This window comes from Homo sapiens, chromosome 11 (assembly GCF_000001405.40).
Source record: "Homo sapiens chromosome 11, GRCh38.p14 Primary Assembly".
Taxonomy (NCBI): domain Eukaryota; kingdom Metazoa; phylum Chordata; class Mammalia; order Primates; family Hominidae; genus Homo; species Homo sapiens.
The window spans coordinates 100,177,386-100,191,503 of NC_000011.10; the positions used below are offsets into that span (position 1 = coordinate 100,177,386).

General features: G+C 36.0%; 1 protein-coding gene across 12 annotated transcripts in view; it reads left to right on the top strand.

The window, feature by feature from the left end:
• CNTN5 (contactin 5) overlaps nucleotides 1-14,118 on the top strand; it is a 1,337,937-nt gene that overhangs the window by 1,156,437 nt on the left and 167,382 nt on the right. For all 12 annotated transcript variants that reach the window (XM_017017926.2, NM_014361.4, XM_011542871.2 and 9 more), the window contains one exon: nucleotides 13,741-13,868. In XM_017017926.2, the coding sequence (XP_016873415.1) occupies nucleotides 13,741-13,868 (128 nt within the window). The remainder of the gene's footprint in view (nucleotides 1-13,740; nucleotides 13,869-14,118) is intronic.

Below are 14,118 nucleotides of genomic sequence, written 5' to 3' on the forward strand. Positions count from 1 at the left end.
AACTCTTCCTTTCACACTGTGGTACCTGAGGGTAGGAACTGGGTCATATTCAGAATCTTATCCCAGAAGCCATCTACAGTACCTGGAATTTAGAAACTACTCAATGTGTAGTTTCTATAGTAGTAGTTGATGAATCTGACTGAAATACTTCACTCCTTCTCCACTTCCAGCCATTCAGTGAACTAATTCCCATTAGTTCCCATTTTCAAGTCTGTGCTTAGATACCACTTTCACCTGAAAGGTGTGTCTCTGTTTAGCACTTATCTCCTTTAATTAAAATTGTATGTATAATTGTCTTTCCTTTTAAAAAGATGGCTATTTCATCTGCCAAAACAGGGAGCCGACATATACGTAGAGTTTAAAGTTCTGTTCAGTGTTAAATTGAATATATTCATGCTCTTCTGGGGATATTGTTGTAAGTCCTGTGGTGTGAAGGAGATGGCCTACATAGTCAACCCAGATGACGTCATATACTTTCAGCCTCTATGTAGCCACTGTTTTTCTCGTCCAAGTTCTCTCTCTTCTGACCTGGTTTATGGCCACATCCCCACCCTGTACTCAGCATAAAAAAACCTGCCAGGGTTCTCATTTCAAAGGAGCGAACTCAATGTCCTGTACAGAGAAAATAGGTAGAGGCAAAAGCAGAGAGTACCATTATTTATGAAGGTTTTCAGAATCCATCTGTTCTCTGGATCATGAACCCTTTATCAATGCACTGTAGCAAAACCCTCAGCTCCACTCCCTCTTCTACCATAAGGAGAATAGCAGCTCTTTTCTTGTGCTCTTCATTAGTAGCTACTGACAGTACAGCTGCCATCATGCCTCTCCAAACGTTATTAACTCGTTTTCCTAAAAGCAAAACACTATTCTGGTCTGTTTTATTTCTTTTCTATCTTATAAACATACCATGCTCACTTTTGAATTCTCCTCCTTTGCTCATTTGTTCCCTTTTTTCTTAAAATCTTCGTCTACTTCCTCCTCCCTGTTCATTCTTTCAAATCTGTATCAAATCTTGTCCACTTGTAACTGGACTCCTCCAGCTTTTATTGGTCCTTCCTTCTGAGCTACACTAGAATTATAGTTTGATACATAATTTTAACATTCTGCAATTCGCATGTGAACAATTAAATTGTTAGGACTTTATGGACAAAGATTGTACCTTAAAACTTCCTTCATCTCTTCTGCCATTATGGCATAGCACAAGATATACACTAAGCATTAATGCTATTCACCAGACAGTTGTGGTTTTTCTTCCACACACATAGTAAGATTGTGTTTCCTTGCTGTTCTGAGGTCACATGAGACTATTTGCCTTGCCAGTGAAGTGTGAATAGAAGTGTTGTGTGCTGTTTTTATGTGACAAATTTAAAAGTCACAGTTTGATTTGGGATATTCTATTTTTCTCTATCTTGGTCACTGGAGAGGTGTCAGCACGGATGCTTAAATGAAGGTGATATATTGAAGAACTCTCCAGCTGACCCCCAATGGGTGGCATCCCAAAGATTCAACGTCACTTGCTGAAGGTGCTGGGAGAGCCACCTGCTTAGTGCATAGCATGTTTTCACATTTTTGTGGGTACATCAGAGGCATATACAAGTATGGGGCACATGACCTGTTTTGATACAGGAATACAATGTGTAATCATCACATCAGGGCAAGCACTCATCATTTCTTTGTGTTGTGAACATTCCAATTGTACTCCCTCAGTTATTCTAAAATGTACAACAAATTATTGTCAACTGTAGTTATCCTGTTGTGCTCTTAAATACTAGATCATTCATTGTATCTAATTATATTTTTGTACCCATTAACTATCGTCATCTCCACCATCATCCCCTACTCCCATGCTGCCACAGCCTCAGGTAACTATCATTCTATTCTCTAGTTTCATGAGTTCAACTGCTTTAATTTTTAACCTGTAGCATTTGGATCATGAGCATCAGATATTGGGCCAGTTTAGGACAGAAGCAATCAGAGATAACAGAGAAAACTTCTATGGAATAAATGTGAAACTTCTCTACTCCTGACATAAGCATAACCTTCCTATTCTACAGTACTGTAAGAGTACTGGTACACAATAGTATAAAACCATTAGGTTGAACCAAGTAAAATTGACATTTTTATAAGATAAAAATAGCCAAATAATGAAAATTTTCTATAGTTCAACCAAATAGAAATAAGACCAGGAGGAAAAATGTGAAAAACCTGCGAGAAGAAATGTGACACCCTTGAATTAGCTATTGAGTCATATAGTGTCTGATAATAATGAAACCTGCATTTACCTGATTATACCTGAGAGGTGATGATATACTAGAATTCACTTGTTACTAGATTATAACCATATTGAACTAAAAATAATTTATCCATTGCTAAGCCAGAACTAATGAATCAAATTTGCATTTACATAAATAACAAAGGAAATTTATATTTTATAATTACATTCCCCAGCTTAAAAGTCTTTTTGAACTCATTTAAGAAGTAGATAATCGTAATAGTCCTATGTCTTTTTTAAATATTTAATGTGTAGCTTAAATCTTTCCCACAAAGAAAACTTTAGGTGTAGAACTCCCTACTGGAGAATTCTACCAAACATTTAAGGCAAAATTAATGCCAACTCTACAAAAACTCTTCCAGAGATTTGAGGTGGGGCAGATACTTCCCAACTCATTATACAAGGACAACATTATGCTTAAACCCAAACTAGACAAAAACATTAACAGAAAATACAATTATAGGCAATATCTCATGAGAATCAAGATGCAAAATTCTTAGCAAAACTATCTTGACGAAGAACAAAGTGAAATGAATTATTTTTCCCGATTTAAGGATTATTAGATGACTACAGTAATCAAGACTGTGTAATGCTGGTGCAGGAATAGACACATAGGTTAACAGAACAAAACAGATAACAAAAATAAACCCACATAAATATGCTCAACTGATTTTTGACAAAAGCAAAAAAGTAATTCAATGGAAAAAGGATAGCCTTTTGGAAAATGGTGCTAGAGTGATTTAATATCCTGAGGCAAAAACAAAGACAAACAACAACAACAAACCTCTCAACCTGTCTTACATCTCCACAAAAATTACCTCAAAATGAATCAGAGACTTAAACGTCAATGTAATATTGTAAAAATTTTAAAAATACACACAAGGAAAGCATAATGAACTAAGGTTAAACAAAGAATTGGCAGATATGATTCCAAAAGTATGATCTATAAAAGGAAAGTTGATAGATTGGTACTTATCAATCAAAATTAAGAACTCTTGCTCTGTGAAAGCTCAGGTAAAAAGGATAAAAGGTAAGCTACGGACTGGCAGAAAATGCTTTCAAATCACGTACCCAACAAAGAACTGGTATCTAGAATATATAAAGTACTCTCAACACTTATCAGGAAAGTAAAAATAATCCAATTAGAAAATGAGCAGAAGATATGAAGAGACAGCAAGCACAGAAAAAGATTTTCAACATCATTACAATCAGAAAACAAAACAAAACAACTAAAACATCACCCACTGCTAACTGGTGATGATGTGTACAAAGTGGATCATTCATACATTGCTGGTATGAATGTTAAATGATACAGCCACCTTGAAAAACATTTTGGCTGTTTCTTACGAAACTACATATGCAATTTCCATATGACACAGATATTATACTCTTGGGCATTTATCCCAGAGAAATTAAAACTTATGTTCACATAAATATCTGTACATCAATGCTTGTAGCAATTTTGTTTGTAATTATAAAAAAGTAGAACCTGCCCAGATGTTGTTCAATAGCTGAATGGTTAAGCAAACTATGGTACATCCATAGCATGGATCACTACTTAGCAATAAAAGGAAATAAACTACTGATACATGCAACAATTTGGATGAGCCTCCAGGCAGGAAAGTAAACTGATTGAAAAAAACCAATCCCCAAAAGTTATATACTGTTAGATTCCACTAATCTAAGATTTTTTTGAAATGGAAAAATAATATTATAAATGGAGAGAAATTAGCAGTTGCCAGGAATTAGGAAGCGAATGGTGGTGAGTATGTGGGATGAAGATGAGTGTGGTTATAAAAAGGAAAATAAAGAATCGGTGGGTTAGAAATGTCCAATATTTTTATTGTGGTGGTAGATAAACCCAAAGTGGTGAAAAATATTGTATAAAACTTAAAATGCGCACTTACACAAATAAGTCAAACTGGAAAAATCTAAATTAAGATGAACGCGTATAAAAATATCAATATGCTGGTTGTGATATTATACTATAATTTTGTAAAATATTATTGGAGAATACTGAGGAAAGCATAGAAGGAATCTGTTTTATTTCTTAAAACTGCATGTGACCTTACAATTATCTCCAAAATGTTCATTTATTAAATAAATACTTTAAAAAAGCACCAAAAATATAGATATAAACCTTTAAAAAGATGTCTAAGATCTATAGACCAATAACTATAAAACATTGCTTAGAGAAATTGAAGACCTAAATAGATGGAGTTATGTCTTCTTCATGAGTTATATGACTCACTGAAGTTCCAATCAAAATCTCAGCATGCCTTTTTAGAAACTGACAAGCTAATTCTTAAATTCATTTGGAAATGCAAAGGACACAGAACAGCCAAAACAATTTGAAAAGGAAGAGTAAAGTAAAAGGACTTAATCTATACAACTTCAAGAGAGGTCATTATGCTATAGTATTCAAAATGGTGTGGGTTTGTCATAAAGACAGGTAAATCAATGCAGCAGAACAGAGAATCAAGAATTTGACCTACATATATATGCCAATTGATTTTTAACAGTGATGTAAAGCCTGTGGGAAAATACAGTGTTTTAGTTTGGGCAGCTGTAACAAATTACTGCAGCCTGGTTGCTTACATATTTATATCTCATAGTTCTGGAGGCTGTGAAGTCCAGGATCAGGATGCTAAGATGGTTAGTTTCTAGTGAAGGCCCTCTTTTTGGTTTACAGATGGCTATTTTCCTTCTGTGTCCTCACTTGTCAGAGAGCAGAGAGAGAGAGAAAACAATCTCTTTCATGTCTCTTCTTATAAGGGCACTAATCTTTATGACCTTACTACCATCCAAAGACTCCATCTCTAAATATCATCACATTGGCAATTAGAGGCTTATCATATGAATTTGAGGCAGACATAAACATCCAGATCATAGAAGTTCATCATTTCAAAATCAAAGTATGATGCAACTGAGTAACCATTTGCAAAATAAATAAATAGTAAGATTCTACTTCATACCACAAACAAAAAGTGATTCAAAGTGTATCACAGACATAAACATCAAATTTAAAACTATAACATTTCTAGGAAAAGAAAAACAGAAATCTCTGTGACCTTAGGTTAGGTAAATATTTCTGAATAAAACAAAAGCACAATGCATAAAATAAAATCAATAAATTAAACTTCAACATGAGGAATTTCTGTTTTTGGAAAAACATTGAGAAATGCCACAGACTGGTAGAAAATAGTTGCATGTTTCATACCTAAAATAAGAGTTATTTATACACTGTAAAAAAAAAACTCTAAATCTTGAAATCTAATGAATAAATTGATAAAAAAGGGTAAATATTTGAACAATTAGCTCACCAAAGACAATATGCAGATGGAAAATGAACATATGAAAAATTGCTCAAGATCATTAGGGAAATGCAACTTAAAGCCACAATGGATTCTACTACCTACTTGTTATGATAGCTAAAATAAAATAGACTGACCATACGAAGTGCTGCAAGAGCTCTCATACACTGCTGGTAGGAATGTAAAGTGGTACAACCACTTGGAAAGATTATGTCAGCTTCTTAAAAAGGTAAACGTAAGCATAAAGAAGTTGATCTAGTCATTGCAATCTTAAATATTTACCCAAAAGAAATGAAAGCATATATCCATAGAAGACTTGTGCACAAATGTTCATGGTATCTTTATTTTTTATAGCCCTAAGCTGAGAGCAACCCAAACATCCATCAACAGGTAAATGGATAAACAAATTATGGTATATACACACAATGGAATGAATACTACTCAGCAATAAAAGGAAGTGAATTACTGATAATTGGAGCCCCAGGGCTGAATCTCAATTTAATTATGCCAAGTGAAATAAACTAGAGTAAAAGTATGTAATGTATTATTCTGTTTATAGAAAATTCTAGAAAAATGCAAACTAGAAAAATGCAAACTAACTTATCGTGATGGGAAACAGATCAGTAGTTGCCTAGGACAACGATGGGGTTAGAAGGGGCTGGGGGAATGCAAGGGAACACAGGGATGCTTCTGAGGGTGATGCATATGTTTATTATCTTCACTATGGTAATGGTTTTATGACTACAGACATACAGGAAAACTTTTCAAAGCATACACTTTAAACATGTGCGATTATATGCCTATAATAACTCAGTAAAGTTGTTGAAAAATGTTAATAGCTTCCCATTGCCCTTAAAATTAAGAACAAATGATTTTCACAGGATACTATGTTCTACAGGGTCTCCCCCTCGCCTACCTCTCCAGTCTCATCTTTTGCCCCTCCCTGACCATCTCTCTGTTGCCATCAGGATTGGCCATTTCTTCAAGGTTTTCTTGTCCTTCCGACCTCAGGATCTTTGCAAATGCAAGTCCCCCTGCTTTCCCACACTGAAGGATAAGCTCAAATCAATCACCCTTCAGTTCTCAGCTCAAATATTACCCCCTAAGAAGAGACTTAACTACTTCCGTAAATAGCTCAGGTTTCTGTGTTATTTCCTGGCACTCTCTACTATTTCCTTTTTAACATTTATCACACATTTCACTTATATTTTCAGTAAAATTTAATGTATATCACATGCCACTACAGTACATTTACATATATTATGTAATCAATACTTTTAAAGAACTAGATATTATGACAGTTTTACATTTAGGAAGGAGATTAAGAAACTTTGCTTAAGATCACACATAGAGTAGTCAGTGTCAGTAATTTGAACACAGCCCTATCCTGCTTTAAAACATAGGGTCTTAATTAATGATTAATTAAATGATTCTATGATATAATGTCCACCCTGATATGATACCAAAAAGAAATCTGATCTGCTGAAAGCGGATGTATGCCAAGGAATGCAAGTGGCTTCCAGAAGCTGAAAGCAGTATCCAGCTGACAGACAGCAAGGGAACAGGGACACATACAAGACAAATTCTGCCAACAGGCATGAACTTGGAAGCAGCTTCCTCTCCTGAGCGTCCAGAGAGGAGCCCTGCCTGGCCAACACCTTTTGAGACTGTAAGCAGAAAATCCAATTAAGCCCACCCCCCCAGACTTCTAACCAAAAGAATAAATGTATGTTTAGTTCATTAATAGCTATTTGTTATGCAGCAGTGGAAAACTATTACTTTTCTATTTTCTAAAGTGCTTACATATGATATATAGGGATCATTTACAAATTATATTTCTTATTAATAAGTTGATACAGTATGGCTCTGTATCCCCACCTAAATCTCATCTACATTGTAATCCCTACATGTTGAAGAAGGGACCCAGTGGGAGGTCATTGTATCATGGGGGTGGTTTCCCCCATGCTGGTCTCATGATTTGTAGTGAGTTCTCATGAGGACTGATGGTTTTATATGGGGCTCTTCCCACCTTGGCGCTCTCTCTCCTGCCGCCATGTGAAGAAGGACATGTTTGCTTCCCTTTTCTCCATGATTAGAAGTTTCTTGAGGCCTCCCCATTCATGAAGACTGTGAGTCAATTAAACCTCTTTACTTCATAAATTACCCAGTCTCAGGTACGTCTTTATACCAGTGTGAAAATTGTCTCATACATAAGTCATGGGCTCAATCAAGTCATTTTAACTTTTGGGGGGTTTTGTTGCTTGATCTGTAAAATGAAGTTTTACTGGATAAGTTCTACTCTCTCAACTTCCCTAAGTCTAAGAATTCATTTCTAGCTTTTTGCAACTATTGTGACACACCCTGATCAGGTATCCTCCATTCTCCTCTCCAGATTCATTCTCCACCCTTCAGTACTCTGCAGTATACCCCAAGAGACTGACCCCTAAGAACTACATCAGTGGGCTCCCTTGTCCCTGAGAATGGGGCAGCAGAAGTGATAAAGAAGAGCGAGGTCTCGGTATTTATTTCCTGGCTTCCTACAAGTACACAATACATTAAGGGGAAAAATGATTCCTAACTTCACTTGTGAATTTTTGGAAGCAGAGGAAGGACACGTAATGGACTGAACTGTGTCCTCCCAAAATGCATATGTTGAAGCCCTAACCCTCAATTTAAATGTATTTGAGGGAGGGCTTCTAAGAAGTAATTAAAGTTAAATGTGTTCATAAGTATAGGCTCCCAATCCAATAGAACTGGTGATGTTTTAGAAGAGGAAGAGAAACCTCTCTCTCTCTGCCACACATGTGCACTGAGGAAAGGCCACGTGAGCACACGGTGAGAAGGCAGCAATCTGCAAGCCAGGAAGACAGACAGCCCTTACCCAAACCCAACCATTCTTGCACCTGATTTTGGACTGTCCAGTCTTCAGAATTGTGAGGAAATAAATTTCTGTTGTTAAACAACGTAATCTAGAAATCAAAGATCACTAAATAATATCGCAATGGGTAAACAGACGGTACTTCCAGGCAAGCAGTCTATTTGTAAAGGTTTAAACTAAGTTGTGTAGTATCTGACAAGTAAGCCAAACATAGATATGGAGAGTCCAGGCTGGGCAGGGTGGCTCATGCCTGTAATCCCAGCACTTTGGGAGGCCAAGACAGGTACATTCTTTGAGTCTAGGAGTTTGAGACCATCATGGGCAACATGGCAAAGCCCATCTCTACAAATAAATAAGTAACTAAATACAAAAATTAGCCAGGCATGGTGGTGCATGCCTGTAGTCCCAGTCTTTACTCAGGAGGCTGAGGTGGGAGAATCTCTTGATCCCAGAAGGTTGAGGCTGCACTGAGCCATGACTGTACCACTGCATTCCAGCCTGGGTGACAGAGCAAGACCTTGTCTCAAAAATAAATAAAAATATAATGAAATAACAAATATAGGGTCCAGAAAATGGCCCCGAAATCAAGATAGGCAAAATAAGTCAATAATAAATTCCTACAAGATAGGGGTAATCACAGTGATGTCCTACATGAACTGGGCTACTGGACAGACTAACAAAGCAGAGACTGAGTAACTAGGTGCAAGGTGAGAAGCAAGACATCTCCAGGGCTAGATAGAAACTTATGGAGAAGTCTAGAGACCAGGACATAAGTGTGACTTGATCTTGAATGCAAGAATGCTGATTTAAATTTCCAAAATCTCTCCCAGCCCCTGAAAACCTTCACCTCACTGCTCCCTTCACTCCCTTTCTTCAAGTCAAAGACTGTCTGAGCAGAATTAATCCCCATATATGAAAATTCTATAATGTAGAAGCCACATGGTAATAGCAGAGGAATGAAGACAAAGGGGCTGTATTGTAAGGAAGTATTAATTCAATATTAAATTATCTAAGTAATTACGTGTGCAATAACCAGACATTGTAATGTAAATCACATTATCTAATCTGTATTTTTGTGAAGTTAAAAAAAATGAGCTCAGCTGGTAAGCATTTGCAATTTGAATCAGTAGACAGAATTTTGGAGAAATGACACTGCCACTTAACAGACAAAAAACATTGTGGAATTTTTTTTCCATTTGTGTGTGTCTTCTATTACCTCTTTCAGCAGTGTTTTATAGTTCTCCTTATAGAGATCTGTCACCTCCTTAGTTACATATAGTCCTAGGTATTTTAATTTTTTTGCAGCTATTGTAAATGGGATTATGTTCTTCATTTCACTCTTGCTTGTTGTGTATAGAAATGCTGTTGAGTTTTGTACATCGATTTTGTATCCTGTAACTTTATTGTAGTTGTTTATCAGTTCCAGGAGTCATTTGGCAGTCTTTAGGGTTTTCTAGGTATAGAATCAGATTGTCAGCAAAGCTGGAAAAATCAGTATTAAAATGGCCATACTTCCCAAAACAATCTACAATTCAACGCTATTCCTATCAAGCTGCCAACGGTTTTTTTTTTTCGTGTAACTAGAAAAACTTATTCTAAAATTCATATGGAACCATAAAATAGACCAAATAACCAAAGCATTTCTAAGCAGAAAGTAGAAAGCGGGAGGCATCATATTACAGGGCTTCAAACTATAGTATAAGGTTACAGTAAACTAAAACAGCATGGTACTAGTACAAAGACAGACACATAGACCAATGGGACTGAATAGAGAAACCAGAAAGAAAGCTCCACACCTACAGTCATCTTACCAAAGTTGACAAAAATAAGTAATGAGGAAAGGACTTCTTGGTCAATAAATGGTGTTGGGATCGCTGACAAGTCATATGCAAAAGAATGAAACTGGACCCCTACCTCTCACCATATACAATAATTAACTAAAAATGGATTAAAAATGTAAATGTAAGACCTCAAAGTATAAGAATCCTAGAAGAAAAACTAGGAAACATCATTCTGGACATTGGCCTTGGGACATTTGTGACTAAGTCCTCAAAAACAATTGTAACCACAGCAAAAAACATTGACAAGTGTGACCTAATTAAACTAAAGAGCTTCTGCAGAGCAAAAGAAAACTATCAATATAGTAAATACCCTGCAGAATGGGAGAAAATATTCTCAAACTACGCACACAACAAAGGTCTAATATCCAGAATCTATGAGGAACATAAACAATTGAACAACTGAAAAACAGCTCCATTAAAAGAGCAAAAGACATGAACAGACACTTCTTACAGGAAGACATACAAGAGGCCAGCCAGGTGCAGTGGCTCACTCCTGTAATCCTAGCACTTTGGGAGGCCACGGTGGGCAAATCACTTGAAGCCAGGAGTTCAAGACCAGACTGACCAACATGGTGAAACCATATCTCTACAAAACATACAAAAATTAGCCGGGTGTAGCGGGCCACAGGGGGCGAGGAGAGACCTGAGGCAGGAGGATCCCTTGCATCCCCCAGAGGTTGAGGCTGCAGCGAGCTGTGATTGCACCACTGTACTCCAGTCTGGGTGACAGAGTGAGACTCTGTCTTAAAACAACAACAAGAACAAAACAGACAAGAGGCCAACAAACATACGAAAAAATGATCCACATTACTAATTGTCAGAGAAATGCAAATCAAAGCCATAATGAGACACCATCTCACACCAGTCAAAATGGCTATCATTAACAAGACAAAAACAACAGATGCTGGTGAGGCTGTGGAGAAGAGGGAATGTTTACATACTGTTGGTGGGAATGTAAACTAGTTCAGCCACTATGGAAAGCAATTTGGAGATTCCTCAGAGAACTTAAACTGCTATTCAACCCAACAATCCCATTACTGGTTATACATCCAAAAGAAAATAAATAGTTCTACCAAAATGAAATACTCATATGTTCATTGTAGCACTAGTCACAATAATGAAGACATCGACTCAACCTATGTGCCCATCAATGGTGAATTATATAAAGAAAATGTGGTACATACACACTGTGGAATACTAGCCAGCCATAAAAATGAACGAGATCTTGTCCTTTGTAACAACATGGATGCAACTGGAGGCCATTATCCAAAGTGAATTAACACGGCAACAGAAAACCAGTGCCACATGTTCTCACTCTTAAGTGGGAGGTAAACAATGGAACTCATGGACATTAAAATGGCAACAATAAAAACTGAAGACTACTAGAGGAGAGAGGGAGAAAGTGGGGCAAGAGTTGAAAAACTAACTATTGGGTACTGTGCTCTACCCTGGGTGACAGGATCAATCAATCCGAAACCTCATCATCATGCAATATACCCACCCAGGTAACAAACCTGCCCATGTATCCCCTGGATCTAAAATAAAAGTTAAAATTATAAAATAAATAAGTTGAATTAAAAAAAAAAAAAAAAACCTTGTGGTACTCAAAATTCTGCATGCCCAAGTGGATCAGGGGCCGAAAGTACAGGGCATTCATAAACTGTCTTTAATAGTTTATGTTAAATGTTGCCTCCTGTCAGTAAGAAAGCACTCCTCTTAAATCAAAAACTATAATACTGCCAGTGTCTGTGACACATTTATTTCTTTAAAGGAAGTAAACTTTTAAGCCAAACTTCTTACCTGCTAGATGAGAATTCACCCAAGTCAGTAAAATCCACATAATTTCAAGATATTAACAATCAGCACAAATTAATGTCAACCATCTGTAATTCTTACAAGAGGATGCTTGTTTGTTTACAAAGAGTATAATTTTTGCTTTCTAATACATTGTTTTGTAGCATAGGTATCTTTGGGGTTGAAATGGAATAAATAACATTTCATTTTCATAGAAAATGAACACTATATAATGAATAGAACTTTTCATTGACAATCTTGAATGCATTACATTACTCTTAAGGGCATTGTGTTTTTCAAATGTTTTAAGCTAGCATCTCTCCTAGACTTAAATGACAAAATGAAGTTCACCATTTCTAGTTTGACTTTTTTTCTAAATTTGTCTTCCTTCTTACACATCATAAATCAAGTTTGATCCATATTGGAAACCATATGTTTTCAAACTGATATCTTTATTAATGAAAATATGTAAGTATAAATTCCTGGGCAGTTTTTTTCAGCAGCCTAGAATCTAATATCAATTGTTACGAAGTTCAATGCTCTAAATAACCATGAGCTCCAGTTAATTGACAAGATTGAATACACATTTTAAAATAACATAAAGAATGTTGACTAAACATTTAGTCATTATTTCTAAATCTTAAATAGTTTAATATTATCATACTGCCATGGAATAAATTGTCCTTAGAATCAGGAGGATCCAATTTTAGGATTTTAGGATTTTAAAGTTCACAGGGGCTACTGGTTCTTACCCAAAGCTAGTGGCATATTCACTAAAACCACAACAGCCGTGTCTATTATGTTTCAGGTTGCCGGAGTAGGTCGATGCACTGGTGAAATAATAGGTTATATTTCTGGAGCATAGAAGGGAGAAAAGGACAAAAGTACTAATTAAATTTGAAATCTGTATAATCCTGGAATAAATACACAGGAGAATACGTTAATTCCAAATGTCAGCCTCATTTTCACTGAACTTCTAAAAATTTTTAACAACGCTTTAATTTTTCACCTTCATATGAAAGTGAAGGTCCAGTTTTAACAAAGGTCTTGAAAGAGCCCAAATGCAAACTTAGATATCATATTCTTATGTTTAGAAAGTGCAGTGCAAGCAGCCCAGGTATCAGGTTGCATTTTCATACTCTTGCTACTCTGGTGGCAACGCAGAATAACTGCCATAAATCATCTCTTGGCTGTATACAATTAATTTTGTGTTCTGTACTTATACTCCTCTATGTTTTTATGCTGTTTTTTTTTTTTATATATGACTTTTGAGGTCACTCTTGGTTTTAGGTGAAATACTCAAGCTTAATATTAAAATATCACTGGGTGATATTGTAGTAACAAGTTCTAATAACCAAACTCAGGGTCACCCCTTCTGCAAGTTTTAAAATTAACTGTCAAAAAATGTCAAAAGAAAAATATCTTGTTACTCCTTAACCTTTTTGAATATAAGAAGATTTAAGTAAGCTTATTATACTTCTTGAAGGGTAAAATATTTCTACTATCACTGCATATTTTCACAGTGATCCTTTATCTTACTTATTATCACCCTAGAAATGGTTTTAGACTTCATCATTGGTTCTTACTATTTAGCTGATTGCAGTAAAACAGAAAAAAAAACTGTTTTTAAATAATTTTCAGAATAGCTATTCTTCCAGACGGGAGTCTACGGATCCTAAATGCTTCCAAATCAGACGAGGGAAAGTACGTTTGCCGAGGGGAAAACGTCTTTGGTTCTGCTGAAATTATAGCTTCGCTATCTGTAAAAGGTAAGACAGCACGGGTAAATGTTTTACAAGCATAGTCTCATGGTCTTATCGGAAAGAGAATAAATATAATATAAATGCATATATGTTTGGACTTAAGTGTGTGCATGCTTGTGTTTATAAAATACATTGCAAACATAGAACTAAAACAGCCACATTGTTACTTTCCACCATTTAGGGTACCAAAAATGAAGGAACCTCTTATTGGCAGAAATTTTATTTTGCTTTGAATAAAATTTGTGAGAGAATGAGG